General features: G+C 48.8%; 1 pseudogene across 1 annotated transcript, besides 5 other annotated features; it reads left to right on the forward strand.

Moving 5' to 3' along the window:
* The first annotated feature begins 4,146 nt into the window (after positions 1-4,146).
* LOC100652871 (glutathione S-transferase theta-4-like) lies at positions 4,147-6,945 on the forward strand (annotated as a pseudogene). The gene is made up of 3 exons (NR_171772.1): positions 4,147-4,297; positions 5,222-5,398; positions 6,748-6,945. The product of NR_171772.1 is annotated as a glutathione S-transferase theta-4-like (transcript).
* Positions 15,805-16,496: an enhancer, noted in NCBI's record as "NANOG-H3K4me1 hESC enhancer chr22:24293845-24294536 (GRCh37/hg19 assembly coordinates)". NCBI's record gives its function as "activates a minimal SCP1, AML or CMV promoter by ChIP-STARR-seq in naive H9 embryonic stem cells {active_cell/tissue: H9 hESC(naive)}" and the evidence as "EXISTENCE:reporter gene assay evidence [ECO:0000049][PMID:30033119]".
* Positions 16,497-17,188: an enhancer, noted in NCBI's record as "H3K4me1 hESC enhancer chr22:24294537-24295228 (GRCh37/hg19 assembly coordinates)". NCBI's record gives its function as "activates a minimal SCP1, AML or CMV promoter by ChIP-STARR-seq in naive H9 embryonic stem cells {active_cell/tissue: H9 hESC(naive)}" and the evidence as "EXISTENCE:reporter gene assay evidence [ECO:0000049][PMID:30033119]".
* Positions 19,423-20,030: an enhancer, noted in NCBI's record as "OCT4-NANOG-H3K27ac-H3K4me1 hESC enhancer chr22:24297463-24298070 (GRCh37/hg19 assembly coordinates)". NCBI's record gives its function as "activates a minimal SCP1, AML or CMV promoter by ChIP-STARR-seq in primed H9 embryonic stem cells {active_cell/tissue: H9 hESC(primed)}" and the evidence as "EXISTENCE:reporter gene assay evidence [ECO:0000049][PMID:30033119]".
* Positions 20,031-20,638: an enhancer, noted in NCBI's record as "OCT4-NANOG-H3K27ac hESC enhancer chr22:24298071-24298678 (GRCh37/hg19 assembly coordinates)". NCBI's record gives its function as "activates a minimal SCP1, AML or CMV promoter by ChIP-STARR-seq in naive and primed H9 embryonic stem cells {active_cell/tissue: H9 hESC(naive and primed)}" and the evidence as "EXISTENCE:reporter gene assay evidence [ECO:0000049][PMID:30033119]".
* Positions 20,639-21,246: an enhancer, noted in NCBI's record as "OCT4-NANOG-H3K27ac hESC enhancer chr22:24298679-24299286 (GRCh37/hg19 assembly coordinates)". NCBI's record gives its function as "activates a minimal SCP1, AML or CMV promoter by ChIP-STARR-seq in primed H9 embryonic stem cells {active_cell/tissue: H9 hESC(primed)}" and the evidence as "EXISTENCE:reporter gene assay evidence [ECO:0000049][PMID:30033119]".

The raw sequence follows: 21,358 nt of genomic DNA on the forward strand, positions 1-21,358 counted from the left end.
AGTAGATTACCAATTCTGAAATGGGTTTTGAGCAGTAGCAACATTGACACAAATTTATAATATTTTCAAGAAGATACTTCCTTCAATATGTAAAATGCAACAGATATCATTTGCAATCATACATATGTACATATATACATACACACATATAATATATATATCTCACCATGGAATAAGTCTGAGCTGAAACATGCATTACTTAAAAAAGAAAAAACTTACAGACAGGATCTTGCTCTGTCATCCAGGCTGAAGTACAGTGGCACGATTGTGGCTCACTGCAGCCTTGACCTCCTGGGCTCAAGTGATCCTCCCACCTCAGCCTCCCAAGTAGCTGGGACTACAGGCATCAGCTACCTCGCCTGGCCTGCATGATCTTTATGAAGAATGTCATAGAAAGTTTTTGAAAGCGATTAAAGTTGACCTAAACAAGCGGGGATCTATGCTGTATGCCATGCTATTATTGGGGAGGAAAAAAATTCTCCTCTACATTCCTAGGGTCTCTGGAGATCTGGGCCTAAGAATAAAACTAAGACAGATTAGCTCTCTCCCTCTCCCTCTCCCTCTCCCTCTCCCCATGGTCTCCCTCTCCCCATGGTCTCCCTCTCCCTCTCTTTCCACCGTCTCCCTCTCATGCCGAGCCGAAGCTGGACTATACTGCTGCCATCTCGGCTCACTGCAACCTCCCTGCCTGATTCTCCTGCCTCAGCCTGCCGAGTGCCTGCAATTGCAGGCACGCACCGCCACGCCTGACTGGTTTTCGTATTTTTTTGGTGGAGACGGGGTTTCGCTGTGTTGGCCGGGCTGGTCTCCAGCTCCTAACCACGAGTGATCCGCCAGCCTCGGCCTCCTGAGGTGCCGGGATTGCAGACGGAGTCTCGTTCACTCAGTGCTCAATGGTGCCCAGGCTGGAGTGCAATGGCGTGATCTCGGCTTGCTACAACCTCCACCTCCCAGCCGCCTGCCTTGGCCTCCCAAAGTGCCGAGATTGCAGCCTCTGCCCGGCCGCCACCCCGTCTGGGAAGTGAGGAGCGTCTCTGCCTGGCCGCCCATCGTCTGGGATGTGAGGAGCCCCTCTGCCTGGCTGCCCAGTCTGGAAAGTGAGGAGCGTCTCTGCCCTGCCGCCATCCCATCTGGGAAGTGAGGAGCGCCTCTTCCCGGCCGCCATCACATCTAGGAAGTGAGGAGCGTCTCTGCCCGGCTGCCCATCGTCTGGGATGTGGGGAGTGGCTCTGCCCCGCCGCCCCGTCTGGGATGTGAGGAGCGCCTCTGCCCGGCCGCCACCCCGTCTGGGAGGTGAGGAGAGTCTCTGCCCGGCCGCCCCATCTGAGAAGTGAGGAGACCCTCTGCCTGGCAACCGCCCCGTCTGTGAAGTGAGGAGCCCCTCTGCCCGGCAGCCGCCCCGTCCGGGAGGGAGGTGGGGGGGTCAGCCCCCCGCCCGGCCAGCCGCCCCGTCCGGGAGGTGAGGGGCACCTCTGCCCGGCCGCCCCTACTGGGAAGTGAGGAGCCCCTCTGCCCGGCCACCACCCCCTCTGGGAGGTGTGCCCAACAGCTCATTGAGAGCGGGCCAGGATGACAATGGCGGCTTTGTGGAATAGAAAGGGGGGAAAGGTGGGGAAAAGATTGAGAAGTCGGATGGTTGCCGTGTCTGTGTAGAGAGAGGTAGACATGGGAGACTTTTCATTTTGTTCTGTACTAAGAAAGGTTCTTCTGCCTTGGGATCCTGTTGATCTGTGACCTTACCCCCAACCCTGTGCTCTCTGAAACATGTGCTGTGTCCACTCAGGGTTAAATGGATTAAGGGCGGTGCAAGATGTGCTTTGTTAAACAGACGCTTGAAGGCAGCATGCTCCTTAAGAGTCATCACCACTCCCTAATCTCAAGTACCCAGGGACACAAACGCTGCGGAAGGCCGCAGGGTCCTCTGCCTAGGAAAACCAGAGACCTTTGTTCACTTGTTTATCTGCTGACCTTCCCTCCACTATTGTCCTATGACCCTGCCAAATCCCCCTCTGTGAGAAACACCCAAGAATGATCAATAATAATAAAAAAAAAAAGACAGATTAACAGAAGAAAATCATTCAAGTTTTGCTAAATTTTCAGTGTACATGGGTACTTTCACAAGAGAATGAAGGCCTAAAGAAGTCACTAAAGTAGAAAAAGTTTCTATCCTTTAAATAGAAAAACAATTTTTTTTAAGACAAGGTCGGGCACGGTGGCTCACGCCTGTAATCCCAGCACTTTGGGAGGCCAAGGCGGGCAGATCACGAGGTCAGGAGATCGAGACCACCCTGGCTAACTCGGTGAAACCCCGTCTCTACTAAAAACACAAAAAAATTAGCTGGGCGCAGTGGCGGGCACCTGTAGTCCCAGCTACTCGGGAGGCTGAGGCAGAAGAATGGCATGAACCCGGGAGGTGGAGCCTGCAGTGAGCAGAGATCGTGCCACTACACTCCAGCCTGGGTGACAGAGCAAGACTCTGCCTCAAAAAAAAAAAAAAAAAAAAAAGACAAGACAAAGCGGTTTGGATTATAGGCAGTAAATTGTGGAGAAGGGACTAGGACATACATGCGGAGCAAAATTGGAAGATAAGGATTATTTTTAGTCGTGTGTTTATACAGATCCATTGGAACCTTGATTCACAGTCACCTGTGATGACAATGTTCTTCTCTTCCTGGTAAAGGGAGGGTGCTTTCTTATGGGAAATTGTGTGGCCTATTCTTAGATAGAAAAGGGCAGGTCAGAGAGTCTTTCCTGCATGTGCTATTTCTCAAGTGCCTTCAACTCAAAATAATTAATACTCCAAAGCAGCATATTTGGGGTGACGTGTCTTTAATTCCTTCATTTCCCCTGCTGCAGACTTTCCTAGAAGTTTCAGATATTAAAAGCTGAGTTGGTGGCTATGGAGATAAGAGCCAGATTCATAACGAGGGATCTACAAATGGGGAGAAGAACATAGATAAGAATAGGAATGAATAAGCTGAAAGGAACAGGTCTGAGCACATTTCCCCTTATCCTGTTAAACACACATCCCATTGCTGGGACAAGGTCAGTACAGCAGAAGGAATGCACCTCTTTTGTTTGATGGAGAGTGTTTAGCTTGTTCTTTAACAGGTGCAGCTTAGGCACTATTTGTCCCAGTGGATTTACACAGACCAGCCTTATCCACCAATGATCACACAAACTCCTCCTTTTGAGGCTGTCAGTGTGTCCAGGGTGCAACAATTTTGGAATACAGCAGAAGCTAAGCTATTAACTTCTTTTGTTGTGGTTGCTGTTGTTGTTTTGAGACAGAATCTCACTTTGTTGAGTGCAGGCTGGAGTGCAGTGGTGCGATCATGGCTCGCTGCATCCCTGGCCTCCTGGGCTCAAGTGATCCTCCCACCTCAGCCCCCAGAGTAGCTGGAACTACTAGTACACCCTGCTAATTTTTAAACTTTTTGTAGAGACAGTCTCACTATGTTGTCCAGGCTGGCCTCGAACTTCTGGGCTCAAGTGATCCTCCCTCCTCAGCCTTCCAAAGTGCTGGGATTAGAGGCCTCAGCCACCATGCCCAGATTGCTTTGACATCTTGAGGCCTTAGTGATCCAAGAGAGACTGCCCCTCCCTGGGCCAGCTAATTCCTACAGAGAATAAATGATTTGCTTATGGTGTGCCTTCGATGGGCCAATCAACCGATTCGTATCTCCAAGATAACTTTACCAGCCACCTTCCAGCAGGTTCCTGCCCCAAATCACTCCAGGGACAGGTACCAGGTAACAAAGGACCACTCCTATAACCTAGAGCCCATCACAGTTATTGAAACTAGCCAGGCCTAAGTCTGTTTACCCTGTCTTGCCTTCTTGCAAAAAACACAGAAAACCCTTTGTCCACCTTTCGCCCTCACTCATTCTGCCACCTGACTGGCCCTGGTGCTTCCCCATGGCCCTGCATGGTGTGGCGTGTCCCCCCTATCATCTTGGGAACTGTGAGTAACAAACTGTCTTTTAAATGGCTATCACCTCTGATCTGTGGCCTCGCCATACCTGAATAAAGCCAAAATCCCGGGTACATTTTAAAACAAGTCTACAAGTCAAGGAATGCCGGGGTGGTTGACGTAGTGGCACTCAGGAAGGCAAGGGCAGTGCCCCTGACCGGCCCCTTCTGCAGCGCGGCCATCCTTTACTACCTGTGCCGCAAGTACAGCGCACCATCGCACTGGTGCCCGCCAGACCCGCACGCACGTGCCCGTGTGGATGAGTTCGTGGCTTGGCAACACACGGCCTTTCAGCTGCCCATGAAGAAGATAGTCTGGCTCAAGGTGAGCAGGGCCACTTCTGGGGCTTGGGGACACGGGCACAGGGAAGTCAGGAAGGCTGGAGGCCAGTTCTGGCCCTGCTGACTGCCGGCGACCTCAAGCAAGTCTCCCTCCCTCTCTGGGCCTCATTTCCTCAGCTCCTTCTCCTGCCCGCCTTACAGAGCCGTCAGGAGTGTGGACTGAAACAATGGGCATGAAAGAGTCTTATTAGGGCGAGGGGAAGGGCATACGGGAGGGGCTGATGTGACTCACCCAGGACAGCATTCGAGGCATTTCATTCTGAACTAGAGAATCTCAGCGTCAAAAGGCCCACAGAAGGCCGGGTACGGTGGCTCACAACTGTAATCCCAGTACTTTGGGAGGCCGAGGCGGGCGGATCACTTGAGGTCAGGAGTTCAAGACCTACCTTGCCAACATTGTGAAACACCATCTCTACTAAAAATACAAAACTATTAGCTGGGTGTGGTGATGGGCACCTGTAATCCCAGCTACTCAGGACGCTGAGGCAGGACAATTGCTTGAACCCAGGAGGTGGAGTTGGCAGTGAGCCAAGATTGTGCCACTGCACTCCAGCCTGGGCGACAGAGTGAGACTCCATCTCAAAAAACAAAAACAAAAAAGAGTAAAGGCCTATAGAAAATTGGAAGATGACAAATAACCAGTACATGTGTCTCTACTTTGAATTCTATGCCTGTGACAGACATCACTAATCAATCACAGGACTTATGCCTGCTGAGCTCCCCAAATCCTTGTGAACACATGGTTCCCGGCAACTTCCACCAATCAGAACTGCTAAAAGAGGTGAAACTGCTTTATATCCTGGGAAGTGTTCAATATCTATCCAGCAGACAAGAGTACAGAGACCTGGCAGGGCAGGTGGCCCTGGAGTGCAGCCTCCTCTTCCCTCCTCTTCCCAACCCTGGCCAGTTGCTGATCCCAAAGATAACAGGGGAGGAAGTTTCAGCTGAGAAGATGGAGCATGCAGTGGAAGAGGTGAAGAACAGCCTGCAGCTCTTCGAGGAGAAGTTTCTGCAGGATAAGATGTTCATCACCGGGAACCAAATCTCACTGGCTGACTTGGTGGCCGTGGTGGAGATGATGCAGGTGTGGAGTGGGTTGGAGGAGGGGTAGACCCTGGGCAGAGGTAGGACTCCTCTGTGACCAATGGGGCCATCACTTGAGGATAGGCTGGTGAGGTGGGAAAGGCAAGCAGAGCTGTCATGGGGGCTGCGGGAGCGAGGTCTGGGGCCCTGGACTCAATCTGGGGGCAACAGGAAGCACAGAATGTTATGAATCAGGAAGGATCACAGTTCTCCACACTTGACAAAGATTCTTCGGTGTGGGAGGACCTGGAGGGTGAGCCTGGGATAGAGAAGAACACTGCATTTCCTGCTCAATCCACCAGCATCCCAGATACCTCCTCCTCTTGCTGGACTCTCCAGGAAATGTTCACTGGCTTCCTGGGTGTCCTTCTGGCCCTGCCTGTTTCCCAGAGCTCCAGACAGACAGCTCTGGAGGACAGCTCTCGTGGCTGGGTCTGAGGGGCATCCACTGTGCATTTGGAGGCACACCTGAGTGTGGGGCATTTATGTGGCCTCTACATGCAGGGGAGGGTGACCAGTTCTGCTTGTCAAGACACTGGCCAGGGTCTCAACTGGCCATCCTGCACACCAGCTAGGGCACTGCACACTGACCAAAGAGACTAATTTGCATATCAGCCAGAGATATGCCCGAGAGGAGGGACCTGGGGTCCTGGTGGATTGACCAGAAAATGCAGTATTCTTTTCCTTATCCCAGAGATCTCTGGCTGATATGAAAATTAGTCTCCTTGGTCTGTTTGCAGGGCAGACCAGCACCAGGAAAAATCATTCTGGCCTGCCCCAAGGGTTCAGCCATATGCTTCGTCCCCACCCCTTACATTTCACCCACACACACCCATTCTTGGCCTTCCCAAAGATCTTGGGTGCAAACCAAACTACAGGGTACACTCTTAGTGAGCCAGCCAAACTGCAGGGTAGACTGCCCGCCAGGTCTCCCATCTTAGCCCCTGAGCTTGATCACAGTGGGAGGCTAAACATGGAGGAAAAAACCTGAGTTCTCTCCCTCATCCACATATACACACCTGGGATAAGGGGTTTCCCTGGAAGAAGGCAGGATTCATGCGAGATCGCAGGCTGGAGAAGTGGGAGGTGCCTGGGCCAGGAGCCCTCTCAGCATGGTTCAGAAGGCTTGGAGCAAGAAGACCGGTGACTAAGGACTCTGAGGGATTCTGGATCCTCCATCCCCACCTACATCTATTACATAGTCTGTGACCCCTTGCTCAGGCCTTGGGGGTCAGCAGCCTAATTCTTTGCATAGGTACATGTTGGGCGCATGGGCCTGAGGCTGTGGGAGAGGACACGGGTGAGGCTGGTCCCCAGACTGACCACGTCTTTGTCTTCGTCTATCCACAGCCCATGGCAGCCAACTATAATGTCTTCCTCAACAGCTCCAAGCTAGCTGAGTGGCGTATGCGGGTGGAGCTCAATATCAGCTCTGGCCTCTTTAGGGAGGCCCATGATCGACTAATGCAGTTGGCCGACTGGGACTTTTCAACACTGGATTCAATGGTCAAGGAGAATATTTCTGAGTTGCTGAAGAAGAGCAGGTGACCCTAGGCGCAGCCTGTCCCGCAGGGCCTGGCTGGCTTAGCAATCTGAGCCACCTTCCTTAAAGGAAATACTAAAACAAAAACAAAAACAAAAACAAAAAACTGTTCTTTGCCTAATAAAGAACTGGAACAACCATCACAGCTGCTGAGCAGCAGACAGTTGGCATATGCATAGGGTCTGATGTGGGAGTGGGTGGTGGTTACAGATCCTTCCAGTTTCCAAAAAGAATTTTAAAAGTAAAGGGTTAAATATGGTTACATTGTGAGTAATAATAGTTGGTGACTTCAATACTCCACTTTCAGTAATAGAAAAACTACAGAAGACCATCAAGGAAATAGGGAATTTGAAAAGCACGATTAACCAATCGCATACACTAGACATGAACAGAACGTTCCACCCGACAGGAGCAGAATAAGCATTCTTCTAAAGAGCACATGGAATATTCTCCAGTATAGAGCATATATTTGGTCCTAAGTCTCAAATTTAAGATGATTGAAATCACACAAAGTATGTTCTCTGGACACAGTGGAATAAAGTGAAAAATCAAGAACAGAAGGAAAACTAGAAAATTCACAAGCACATAGAAATTAAACAGCACACTCTTAAACAAACAATGGGTTAAAGAAGAAATCACAAGGGACATCAAAAAGTATCTTGAGCGAATAAAAATGAAAACACAACATGCCCAGATTTATAGGATGCAGCAGAAGCAGTGCTAAGAGCAAAATTTATAGCTGTAAACACATAAGTTAAAGAACAACGATCTTGAATCAATAACCTAACTTTACACCTTAAGGAACTAGAAAAATAAGAGCAAACCTAACCCAACACCAGTAGAAAACAGGAAATAATAAAGATTAGAATGGAGATAAATGAAATAGAAAATAGAAAAGCAATAAAATCAATAAAACCAAAAATTGGATCTTTGCAAAGATCAACAAAATTGGCAAACCTTTACTTAGAATAGCCAAGTGAAAAAAATAAGGGTCAAATTATTCACCAAGAAAGAAAGTGGAGGCTGGGTGCAATGGCTCACACCTGTAATCCCAGCACTTTGGAAAGCAGAGGCAGAAGGATCACTTGAGGCCAGGAGATTGAGACCAGCCTGGGTAACACAATGAGACTTTTTTCTAAAAAATATATATTTTTAAAAAATTAGCTGGGTGTGGTGGTGCATGCCTGTAGTCTTAGCTAACTGGGTGGATGAGGTGGGAGGATCACTCGCGTCCAAGAGTTCAAGGTTACACCGAGCTATGATTGCACCACTGCACTCCAGCCTGAGCAACATAGAAGAACCTTATCTCAAAAAACAAACAAAAACAAAAATGAAGAAACTAAAAGGAAACCAGAAAGAAAGAAAATGGAGACATCACATTGGTCATAGAGAAATACAAAAGTTTAGAAAGAAATACTATGAATAATTATATGTGGACAATTTAGACAACCTAGATGAAATGGGAAAATTTTAGAAACACACAATCTACCAAAACTGACTTAAGAAGGAAGATAAAATTGTAATAGACCTGTAACAAATAAAGAGATTAAAATATTAATTATTTTTAAAAATTCCACAAAGAAAAGCCCAGGACCAGATGGTTTTACTGGTGAATTCAACCAAAAGCTTGAAGAACTAACACAAAGCCTTCACAAACTCTTCCAAAAAATAGAACAGGAAGAAATATTTTTCAACTCATACTATGAGGCCAGAATTACTCTGATACCAAAGACAGAAAAAGACATTACAAGAAAATAAAGTTACAAAGCAATATCCTTATAAATATAGATGTAAAAATCCTCACAAAATATTAGCAAATCAAATCCAGCCGCATATTAAAAGGATCATACACCTTGACCAGGTAGGATTTATCCCAGGAGTACAAATGCAGTTCAACATACAAAAATCAATCAATGTAGCATACCATGTTAATAAAAAGTCACATGATCATCCTAATGCAGAGAAGGCATTTGACAAAATCTAACATCCTTTTACGATAAAATTACTCAGCAGATGAAGATGAGAAAGGAACTTCCTCAACTTGGCAAAAAGCATCTATGAAAAACCTATAACTAACACCACACTTCACTCATTGTGAAAGATGGAGCATTTCCCCCCTAAGATCAGGAACAGGACAAGAATGTTCATTCACACTACTTCTACTTATTAGGGCAATTAGGCAAGAAAAAGGAACAAGGTGGAATCTAGATCAGAAAGAAAGAAGTAAAACCATCTCTATTCACAGATGACATTATAGGAATTCTTAAGGAACTCACTTAACCATTAGAGCTAATAAACAAGTTCAAGGCTGGGCACAGTGGCTCACACCTGTAATCCCAGCACTTTGGGAGGCTGAGGCAGGCAGATCATGAGGTCAGGAGTTTGAGACCGGCCTGTCCAATATGGTGAAACCCCGTCTCTACTAAAAATACAAAAATTAGCTGGGCGTGGTGGCGCATGCCTGTAGTCCCAGCTACTCGGGAGGTGGAGACAGGAGAATCACTAGAGCCCAGGAGGTGGAGGTTGCAGTGTGCCAAGATTGTGCCACTGCTCTCCAGCCTGGGTGACCGACTGAGATTCCATCTCAATAAAATAAAATAAGTTCAGCAAGGTTGCAGGATACAAGATTAATACACAAAAATCAGTAGTATACATTTGCAATAAAGGATCAAAAACAAAATTAAAACCACACTTCCATTTATAATGGCATCAAAAAGAATAAAATAGTTAGAATAAATTTAACCAAAGAAAAGCAACACTTCAACACAGCAAACTACAATGTGCTGTTGAAAGAAATTAAAGAAGTGCCACCAAGCAATCTGACCTGAGAAAACATGCAGGTTCAACAGAATGAGTCCTGCTCTTCAGCAAGCACCCATCTTGTGTTCAAGCTGGGTCTATGAGGCAAGTTTGGCAACATAGACAAGGACATGCAACCAAATCTGTAATGTAGAAAAGGCCAAGGGAAGGTGGATCAATCATTGGAAACATTCAACAATCCATGGAAGAAATGTTAAAAATAGAATCTCAGGGTCTGATGAAGTTGGAATATCACTCTTCTATGTATTTCGGTTGGAATCTGTTGAATGATTGGATAAAGTAAAAGATAAGTATAGGGAATTATTAGGTAGCATTAAATGTGTAATAAATGTAAAGAGAGGGAGCAAGTGCATACAAGGAAGTGTGCGCTACTGGGTTTCTGTTGAATTGTTCATGGAAGACCATCAGCAGTTCAAATCCAAAAGCCTGTCTTAAAATTAGCTGAGTGTGGTGGCGTGTGCCTGTAATTCCAGCTACTTGGGAGGCTGAGGCAGGAGAATCACTTGAACCCAGGAAGCGGCGATTGCAGTGAGCCAAGATCGCACCACTGTACTCCAGCCTGGTGATAGAGCGATACTCCGACTCAAAAAAAAAAAAAACTTGTCTTGAGGGACTATGCCAGGCTTTACAGCTACAAACATCATGGAGGAAGCTGTCTGCCCATTAGAAGCCCAGAGCCCGGAGGGACAGACTAGAGCAAATCCTCTCCCTCGTTGGAGCTAGATGGGAACACAAATCTATCTGATAACTAACATGCAATTTTACATCTCTTACCTTGTTTAATCCTCACAACCACCCTGATGAGTAGTAGTATTATCCCCATTTTGTAGATGAAGAAACAAGTTCTTCAAGGGGAAGGGATCCTCAGAGTAGCATATGAATGAGAGGCAGAACCAGAGTCAGGACCTATATCTTGTCTTCTCCTTCCTAAAACTAGAAAAGTACCCACAACCAGGCAATGCTTTTGGTGCAGAAAAAGCAGTAGTGAACAAAATAGGCAAAAATGTCTGCCTTTAGTGCTCACATTGTTGTGGAGAAAGACAAACAATAAGCACAGTAGAGAAGTAAAAATTAGAATGTTTTGCTAAAAAGTCCATAAAATTGAATATTATTCAGCCATAAGAAGGGATGAAGTACCGTTATATGCTACAACATGGATGAACCTTGACACCATTATGCTAAATGAAAGAAGCCAGTCATAAAAGGTCACATATTTCATTATTCCATTTGAATGAAATCTCCAGAATAGGCAGCTACTTCCTATCCACAGAGGTAGAAAGTAGATGAATGGTAACCAGGGGCTAGGGGAAGAGGGGAATGGGGAGTGACTCTTTATTGGGTACAGAGTTTCTTTTTTGGGTGATGAAAATGATCTAGAATTAGATAACTGTGATGGTGACAAAACTTTGTTAATATACTAAAAACCACTGAATTGGCTTTAAACCAATTGAATTTTAAAGTATACTTTGAAAGGGTGGATATTATGGTATGGGAATTATATCTGATAATGAAAATATGATTACATTGTTCAAAAGCATAGGGAAGCAGCTACAAAAAATATGAATCATAAATTGTGGCTCTTTTTATTCTGAAGTGTAGAAATTGAATATTATAGCTCAAAATATAAAACAAAAACAAAGAAAGCTAAAAGCCCTTCCATTTGGCCATCTTGGAGTAAGACCTACCACAGTCCAGTGCCTTTTACTCAGCCCCACAGCCTAGCCTATTGTTTACATGAAACCCTGTAGCTTCCACTCCTGTTTGGTGGGTGTAAAGTTATGAGTGACCATATTGGGGGAAGGGAGGAAAACTCCCCATAAACGTGTATCCTGGGGGCCTAAGGAGAGACGATGGCCCAGGTATCAGAACATGATATGCCTACTTGTCCCTATCTCCTTGTCCACACATAAGGCTTGGAAGGCAGCCATGTTGTATATCACGTGATCTCCAACCAATGAGCTGATTGGCTTCTTCAACAAGAGCCCAGGTAGAGATTGGTGTCTAGAGGAGCCCATCAGATTCTAGAGAATCAGGCCTTTGGCAGTGGAAACTCCCCTGGGAGGATGTCATAGGGTCCTCAGGGTCAGACACAGAGAGAAGGAGACATTGGGACAGAGAGAAGAGGCAAGAAAAAAACATATCTTGCAGTCTGTGAGGAACAGAGTGGCCCCCAGGGGCCTCCACCTCAGGTTCTGGATCAAAGCTCCTCAAAGTTTAAGGTGCATTTGGATCACCTGAGGATCTTATGAAAATAAACTCTGTCTGATTCAGTAGGTCTGGGTTTGGGGGTGGGAGCCTGTTAGTATATTTCTAACAAGCTCCCAGGCAAGGCTGCTACTGCTGCTGATCTAATGACCACAGTTTGAGGCTGGACAGAGTGGCTCACACCTGTAATCCCAACACTTTGGGAGGACAAGGCAGGAGGGTCTCTTGAGGGTAGAACTTTGAGACCAGCCTGGGCAACACAGCAGGACCTCGTCTCTAAAAAACAAGAGAGAAGAAGAAAAAGGAAACAACAAGAAGACTCAACTAGAGTAGGAAGCAGTTAGGCCACATATCTCTTCAATGGAGAAAAGAGCTTTTTCTTGAGTAAATTGGAGTGTACCCATGTTCCTTGTCAATGATGGTAACTTTAAATGTCAAGAATGTGAGAGAGGCCAGGGGTGGTGGATCACACCTATAATCCCAGCACTGTGGGGGGCTGAGGTGGGAGGATCACTTGAGCCAAGGAATTCGGGAGCACCCTGGGAAACAAAGTGCGACCCCGTCTCTACAAAGTCAAAAAATTAGCCCAGACTGGTGGCATGCGCATGTGGTCTGAGCTACATGGGAGGGTGAGGCAGAAGGATTGTTTGAGCCCAGGTTGAGGCTGCAGTAAGCTAAGTTTGTACCACTGCACTCATTCCAGCCTGGGCAACAGCAAGACCCTGTCTCGAAAAAAAAAAAAAAAAAAGAATAGTAGAGCCCAGGGGAAGGTGTGGCCCTGGGGTAGGCGCTGGGAGACTGGAGAACAACTGTTAGTGGTCCCATCACTGCCCAGAGCAGACAGTGCCCTGTCCACCCTCATGAGATCTTTGAACTCCTTGGACAGGACTGGCTATAAATGAAAATGTGGGGACCCTTATTTTTAACTTGTTAAGAATGTTAAGATGGCAACAGCAAAGCTTTAAACCAAGTGCATGGCCCTTCTGCGTTGTAGGCCCACAAGGCCGACACTGCTATTCACATCCTTGTATGGTCCCCTACCCTGGAGCGTGGCTGGGGCCTGTGCTCTACTGCTTGGAAGCAAGGCTTATCCCTAAGCCTTATTTTCGGGAAGGTGGATTTGAGAGCTACTATCCCACATCCTTGCTTGGTGCCCTGTGAATAAATCTTTTCTCTTTTGCAAAACTCGTGTCATGGTGATTAATTTACTGTGCAATGCCAGGCACTGTTGGAAACCTCTGGATAGGCCTCACAGGGCCTCAGCCATCTCGGGGAGGCGTTAGCTAGAGTGTAACAAATATGACCCCAGCAACTGGGGAGGGACAGCTCATTCCTTCATGAGGTGTGGGGCTGGCAGCCCCGCAGGCAGTCAGCCACCCTTCCTCTCTGGCCTCCGTCCTGGGCACTGGGCCCAGGCACTGGGCAAGGAGGCTGCTGCACCTCCTTTCTCCTCTTCCTTTTTTTTTATTTTTTGAGACGGAGTATGGCTCTGCCGCCCAGGCTGGAGTGCAGTGGCGTGAGCTCGGCTCACTGCAAGCTCCGCCTCCCGGGTTCACGCCATTCTCCTGCCCCAGCCTCCCGAGTAGCTGGGACTACAGGCGCCCGCCACCCCGCCCGGCTAATTTTTTGTATTTTTAGTAGAGACGGGTTTCACCGTTTTAGCCAGTATGGTCTCGATCTCCTGACCTCGTGATCCGCCCCCCTCGGTATCCCAAAGTGCTGGGATTACAGGCGTGAGCCACCGCGCCCAGCCTCTCCTCTTCCCTTTTAGTGGGAAATATACCTGCAGCCTAGATTCCCAGAAAGGGGTGGTGAGAGAGCAGACACGCCACTGATTGACCCGAAGTTCTAGGAGCCAAGGGATGAGTGAAGAGGGCGTGGCCGGACTCGGGGCTCCTGGTGAGGTGCACCGCTGCAGGCTCGGTGACCCAGCAGTTCCTGCCCAACCCTCACCTACCCCCAGCCGTTCCTGTCCGCCGCCCCCAACCAGCCATTCCTGCCCGCAGTTCCTGTTCCCGGGCCTGTCCCCGGGTTTGTCCCCAGGGCCCGTCCCCTGGGTTTAGGTCTGCCCTCCCACGCCCCACCCCATTGCCCCCGCCATGGGTCTGCTGTCCCAGCCCTGCCGTTCAGTCTACATCTTCGCCAAGAATGGCATCCCCTTCGAGCTTCGCACAGTGGAGCTGACCAAAGCTGGGCTGGGCAGGCAGGCCCAGGGGATATTGGCCGCGGATCCCTGCCTGTCCCCGCTGCTTTGCAGTTGGGCCAAGAATGCAGACTAACACGAAGAATCAGACTCTCCGGTGTGGAAACTATTACATAATTATCTATGTTATTATTTTTACTTTTTGGAGACAGCATCTAACTCTGTCACTCAGGCTGGAGTGCAGTGGCACAATCATGGCTCACTGCAGCCTCGACCTTCCAGGCTTAAGCGATCCTCCCGCCTCAGCCCCTCAAGTAGCTGGGACTACAGGTGCCCACCGACATGCCTGGCCAATTTATTATTATTATTATTATTGAGAGGAGGTCTTGCTGTGTTTCCGAGGCTGGCCTAGAACTCCTGGGCTCAAGTGATCCTCTTGCCTTGGCCTCCCAAAGTGTTGGGATTACAAGCATGAGCCGCCATGCCCCACTGGTTGTCTATTTTAATAGAGGCTTGATCTTTGCTTGTGAATACAAAACATTCTTCAAAATACAGGTTTAGAGAGGGCACAGCAGGCACAGAACGAGGGTAGGGAAATGGAGTGGGGCAAGAATATCTTCACCCCATGTGCTTGGAAAAAACAATGAAACTGCCTCGTTGTTTCCTAAGTAAAATAGTCCCTGTCTACCCCTGCCTGTGTCTCTTCCACTTTTGTATTATTTGTTTGTTTATTTATTTATTTATTTATTTATTTATTTATTTATTTATTTATTACAGTGTCTCAATCTGCAGCCCAGGCTAGAGGGCAGTGGCATGATCCCGGCTCACTGCAGCCTTGACCTCTCAGGATCAAGTGATCCTCCCAACTTACTCCTCCTAAGTAGAATAGTTGGGACTACAGGCACGTCCCCGTGCCCAGCTACTTTTTTCTTTGGTGTGTGTAGACGCATGATTTTGCCATGTAGACCAGGCTGACCTTGAACTCCTGAGCTCAAGTGATCCTCCTGCCTCCTCCTTCTAAAGTGTTGAGATCACAGACATGCACCACCATGTCTGGCCCTGGGTCTCTTCCACTTTTATGTATTTCTTGGCATTCTTCTGCCTTTTCCTTTTCCTGCATCTGACTTGCTCTATCCCATGGGGCTTCTCACCCAGCTGAAGGGGCTACTCCTAGAGGCTAGAGGCTGGAGGGCCCTGTGGCAGGGCAGTGGGGGAGGCCAGCACCCTCACCCTGAGCTCCAGCGTTTGCTGGTCTGGCTGGCATACAGAGATGCAGCTGGAGCACAATTCAGTGGAGGAGGCAGGGCTATAACTAAGCAGTAGGGCAGAGAGCAGAGCCAGAGCCCCCTGGGCAGGCCAGAGGGAGGACCCTGCTCAGCTGACTCTTCCCAACTGCTGCCCTTGGTACAACCAGCTTGAGTCACCTGCTACAGAACAGGGGCTGGACACAGAAGCAGTCTGTGGAGGGAGAATGGGCAGGGGTGTGTATGTCCATTCAGTAGAAGGGCAAAGAGGCCCACATGTAGGCCTATGATCAGACTGGAGCCTGGCTTGACTGAGGTCCTCTGATCCAAACACCAGGCACCTAATGCGGCCTCTAGCACTGGCCTAGAGTGCTAAAGTGAGTCAGACCTGGGAACCCCCACTGGGGAGGGAGCCTTGAGAGTTTGGCATAAGAAAGCAAGAAGAGCTGAGCCACCGGAGGCTAAGTAGCTGAATGGGGCAGGGATTCCCAGCAAGAATGAGGTTGGTCTGAGGGTTGGGAACATGTTTGGCTGGGACTCTGGGGTATTGACAGGTCACCCAGCCTGGCCAGTAGGGCCTAAGTCCCCAGCTGGGATAGGAAGCTGAATCAGAGGGGGCAAGCCTAGAGCCCAGGGAGGAGGCTGGAGGGGTCTGACCTATGGATGGAACTGGCTGGGGGTGGGGTGTGAATTACAGCTCCAGGGAATTGTCCTTGAGCCATGCTTCAAGGAGCTGGACACAGGAAAGATGGCCCTCTGATGGGGTCAAGGTCTGTGACCCAGTGACTAGCAGAGAGGCTTCCTCTTCCCTGATGCCTCCCAGATAGGGGCCTCAGAAAGCTGCTGCTGGGATTTTGGGGTGGGGGTGGGCAGAGACCTCAGAGAACTCTGGGTTATCCCCACTCACCTCTCTGATCTTTCCTGCAGGCCAGCAGCACAGCGATGCCTTTGCCCAGGTGAACCCCCTGAGGAAGGTGCCGGGCCTTGAAGGATGGGGACTTCACCTTGGCTGAGAGGTAACCGGTCCGTGGGCTGCTGCCGGGCCTTGTGGGGCCAGTCGGCTGTCTGTTCACTGTTGATGGCTTGGATCATGGACTGTGGGCCCTGCACCAGCCCCAGGGTGAAGAATGGGTGGAGGCAGGCAGAGGTGCCCAGTGTTGACAAGGGTTATAGAAGTCCCCTCCTGCATTGTACAAGTGAGGAAACTGAGGCTGGAGGAGGGGAGGGACTTGCACAAGGCCACAGGGCCCAGTCTGCTTCCGGGCCTCCTCACCGCCAGCCTTCCCCTCCGAAAAAAGGAGAGTGCTAAGTTTCGAGGAGCGGCTGTACCAGGCATCTTAGTGCTACCATTTTGCCCACAAATCCTGTGGGGCAAGTGCTGTTTCCCTGGAGAGTCGAGGGACCACTCAGCGAGCTTCAGTGGCTATTTGCTAAACATCCACCAGGGCCAGACCCCATTTAAGCCCTGGGGCTTGAGCAGTGAACGTGTCTGCGTCCTTCTCCTCATGGATCTCACATTCCATTAATAGAAGGGGGAGCTGACAGTAACCCATGTAAACATGGAACATATCGGATGTTGATGGATGCCATGGAAAAAATAAACAGGGTAAGAGTGGGGGTGTGTGTCATTATGAGTAGGATGCTGAGGGAAGACTCCCTGGAGGAGGTGGCATCTGAGCAGGGAGCTGTAGGAATGTGCAAGGCATGAGGAGAAGGGTGTTCTCACTGGAGGGAAGAGTGAGGGCGAAGGCTCCAGGTGGGACAATGCATGGGGTTCAGACTGGAGAGCAACGGGCCAGGGTGGGTGCAGTGAGCAGGAAGAGCAGGAGGTCACGACAGAGGGGAGCATGGGACACTGGGAAGGCTTTGGCTCTTACCGCAGGTGGATTGAGTTGTTGGAGAGTTTTGAGCAGAGGAGAACTGTGATCTGACTTACGTCGTAAAGGATCCCCCTGGCAGGGGTGAGAAAGCCACTGCAGTCATCTGGCATGCAGCGCTGGAGCCCCAGACCAAGGTGGTGGTGGTGCAGGGTTGCGGGGGATTGTGGTCAGTTCTGACTTTTATTGAAATCTAACTGCAGGGTTTGCTGAAGGGTTGGAGGTGGGTGGGAAAAATGAAAGCCAAAACCAGCCTCCAGGTTGGTGGCCGCATGGTGGCGTCCTTTACCGAGGCCACATAGTGCCTCCTTGGTGGAGCTGGATTCACATTCAGAGCCTGGGATCACTGGATGGTCCAACACCCATAAAGGCATGATGAGCTCTGAGGGTCAGACTGCACAACCCTTCACCATAGGTGAACGGGAGTTGGGACAGGGTGGGAAGCAATGCTGCCATGTCACCTGGAAGGCTCTGTCCCTGCTGGCCTTGCTCCTGGCCCTGTCCACACTTTGGATATGTTGGGGAGATATCCAACATGCTCTCGTTCTTCAGACTCACACTGGGTGCCCCTTCCTCCTGGAAGCCTTCCCTGAGCCCCTGCTGAAGTTCATGACATTTTGTTTCTTCCTTGCTGCCCTTAGTTGAGATGACAGTCTGGCCCCGTGTAGGGCTGTGTGACCCTGGGTAGTTACCTAACCTCTCTGAGCCTCACATCCCTCCTCTGCATCATGGGGATAGTGAAAATGCCCCAGAAAACGGTTGAAGAGTGTTCAGGGCATGTCTTCTGCCCCTGCCATGTCCCCCCAGTGTGGCTAGCTTGCTCTATATGAGCTGCATGTACAAAGCACCTGACCACTGGTACCTCCAGGACCTGCAGGCCCGCGCCCATGGGGATCAGTACCTGTCATGGCAGCACATGGCCCTGCAGAGTAGCTGCTGCTGGGCCATGTGGCAGACGGTGAGCCATGGAGGGCAGGGACACCTCCCGGGATGCCCAAGGGATGCTGCTTTCACTTTACAAAATTCTGTTTAGACCTGAGACCAAATCCTGGAATGCCAGAGACTGCCTAATTCACCCAACTTGTTTCATAGGAGGGAAACCAAGGACCAGAGCCAAGGAAGGATTCCCCTAATGTGCCTTAATTCCACAGCTACCACCTGCACACTTACACTCACACACTGTTCGACACACAGCCACACTCACACACACATCCACCCACGTCCACCCACAGTCACACGATGTATCACATTCACACGTATACACCCACACACACAATCATAACATTTACACACAGTCACACAGTTAACTCCTATACACACATATACACCCACACAATCACACAACTCACTCATATTCAACAAAGTCACACAACTCACTCACATTGACACACATACACACCAACCCCACACACAATTCACATACATACACACACATATACACCCACATACACAACCACACCATTCACTGACATTAATACAAAGTCATCACACAGTTCACTCCCACACACACACATACACCTCACACACACAGGCACACAATTCACACCAACAAAATCACACAGTTCACTCATTCACACACATACACCCACATACACAAATTCACACTGCTCAGTCACATTTACACACCATTCAAATTCACACACATATACACCTACATACACACAGTTCACTCACATCACACACATATACACCCACATACACACAGTTCACTCACATCACACACATATACACCCACACATAAACACAGTCACACAATTCACTCACGTTCACACACACAGTTCACTGACATTCGCACACATACACACACACCACACACAGGCAATTCAGTCACATGGCCGAAAGCCAGTCCTTACCTTCCTATAGTTCCTTTCCCAGTGTCACCTCAGCCTTTGGCCCTCAGCGTCCCCTTCCCATGCCTGGACTGCGGAAGAGCCCTGAACACACCCCATCTTCATGCCTCCAGCGCTAGCCCGAGCCCTTCCCTCTGCCAAGAGCACTAAGTGCAACTCAAGATCACTTCTAGGGACCCTTCCCTGCCCCTGCTGCCAGGTGACCTGAGGATCCTGCTGGTCCCGCTTGACAATGATGCACAGCATGGTTAGTTCAGCTGAGGTCGCTCTCCCAGACTTACTGCCACCTACACAGCACTAGGACTGACTGTTTAACTTTATTCTTTATTTCGTGTACTTTATTGGAGTGTCTGTTGAAAGCAAAACCATCCAATAAGGAACAATCCCAAGGCAGCCAGCATGGATCAAGAAGGCACAGGCTGTGGCCGCCATCCCCAGTGCCTGATGGGGAGAGGGGGTGGTAATGGAAAAGGCCCAGGAAAGCAGGCCAGAGTGTCCCTCAAAATATGAGAAATCACTGGAAGAGAGAGCCAGAATGGGACCTAAGACAGAAGCCACCACCAGGCACCCTTAAGGCAGGACAGTTGCAATGGTTACTTGGAATACTTCCGGCTAGGAGTGGTGTTGCGGGAAGTCAGGGACCCCAAACAGAGGGACCGGCTGAAGCCATGACAGAAAAACGTGGATTGTGAAGATTTTATGGACATTTATTAGTTCCCCAAATTAATACTTTTATAATTTCTTATACCTGTCTTTACTGCAATCTCTAAACATAAATTGTAAAGATTTCATGGACACTTATCACTTCCCCAATCAATACCGTTGTGATTTCCTATGCCTGTCTTTACTTTAATCTCTTAATCCTGTCAACCAAGGAGGATGTATATGGCCTCAGGACCCTGTAATAATTGCATTAACTGCACACATTGTACAGGATGTGTGTTTGAGCAATATGAAATGTGGGCACCTTGAAAAAAGAACAGGATAACAGCAATTGTTCAGGGAATAAGAGAGATAACCTTAAACTCTGACTGCTGGTGAGCCAGGCGGAACAGAGCCACATTTCTCTTCTTTCAAAAGCAAATAGGAGAAATATCGCTGAATTCTTTTTCTCAGCATGGAACGTCCCTGAGAAAGAGAATACGCACCAGGAGGTATCAGCTTATAAACAGCACCCCTGGGCGTGGCCTGTCTCTTATGGTCGAGACTGCAGAGATGAAATATACTCCAGTCTCCCATAGCACTCCCAGGCTTATTAGGAAGAGGAAATTCCCACCTAATAAATTTTGGTGAGACCGGTTGGTCTCAAAACCCTGTCTCCTGATAAGATGTTATCAATGACAATGGTGCCCGAAACTTCATTAGCAATTTTAATTTTGCCTCGGTCCTGTGGTCCTGTGATCTTGCCCTGCCTCCACTTGCCTTGTGATATTCTATTACCCTCTTAAGTACTTGATGTCTGTCACTCACACCTGTTCGCACACTCCCTCCCCTTTTGAAAATCCCTAATAAAAACTTGCTGGTTTTTGTGGCTTGTGGGGCATCACGGATCCTACCAACGTGTGACGTCTCCCCCGGATGCCCAGCTTTACAATTTCTCTCTTTTGTACTCTCTCCCTTTATTTCTCAAGCCGGCTGACGGTTAGGAAAAATAGGAAAGAACCTACGTGATTATTGGGGCAGGTCCCCCGATAGAGTGGCACATGATGGGCACAGGGCAGGCTTGGGAAATGGGGGGCCGTAAGGCCACAAGACATGTGGGCAGGTAGCCCAGAGTGTGTCTGGAACATCCTGTTTATTGGTCGGCAGTGACATCTACTGTCACATTTGAGAACTGCATCCACAGCCACATGACCTCCTGTGAAGACCTCAGGGCAAACTGGGGAAACCTGCCCTTCTTGGAAGGTGATACTAGGGGGGATGAGCAACACCTTTCTTGGAGGTTTGAATTCTTCAGGGCCCCTCCAGCATCTTGGTCTTCCTAATTCCTCCCTTGATCCCCCAGCCCTAGGGGTGGTAGCTTCTTGCAGTGTTTACCTCCGTGTTAATCTGGATTCTCTCTGTCTTCGGAGTTCTCTAATGCCTGGTTACCAATTCTTTATATCAAGTTCTCTCCGTTAAAATCATTGTGGTGGGGTCCATCCCATGGATATACATGGAGGTCTGTGTGACAATGTATAATCTTACTATTTGCAGTTATTACAAAACTGTCCTAGAAGACATGAATGCTTGTTAAAAGAAATCTTTTAAGTTTCCTAGACTTCAAAGACCGTTGCTAT

This window comes from Homo sapiens, chromosome 22 (assembly GCF_000001405.40).
Source record: "Homo sapiens chromosome 22, GRCh38.p14 Primary Assembly".
Taxonomy (NCBI): Eukaryota; Metazoa; Chordata; class Mammalia; order Primates; family Hominidae; genus Homo; species Homo sapiens.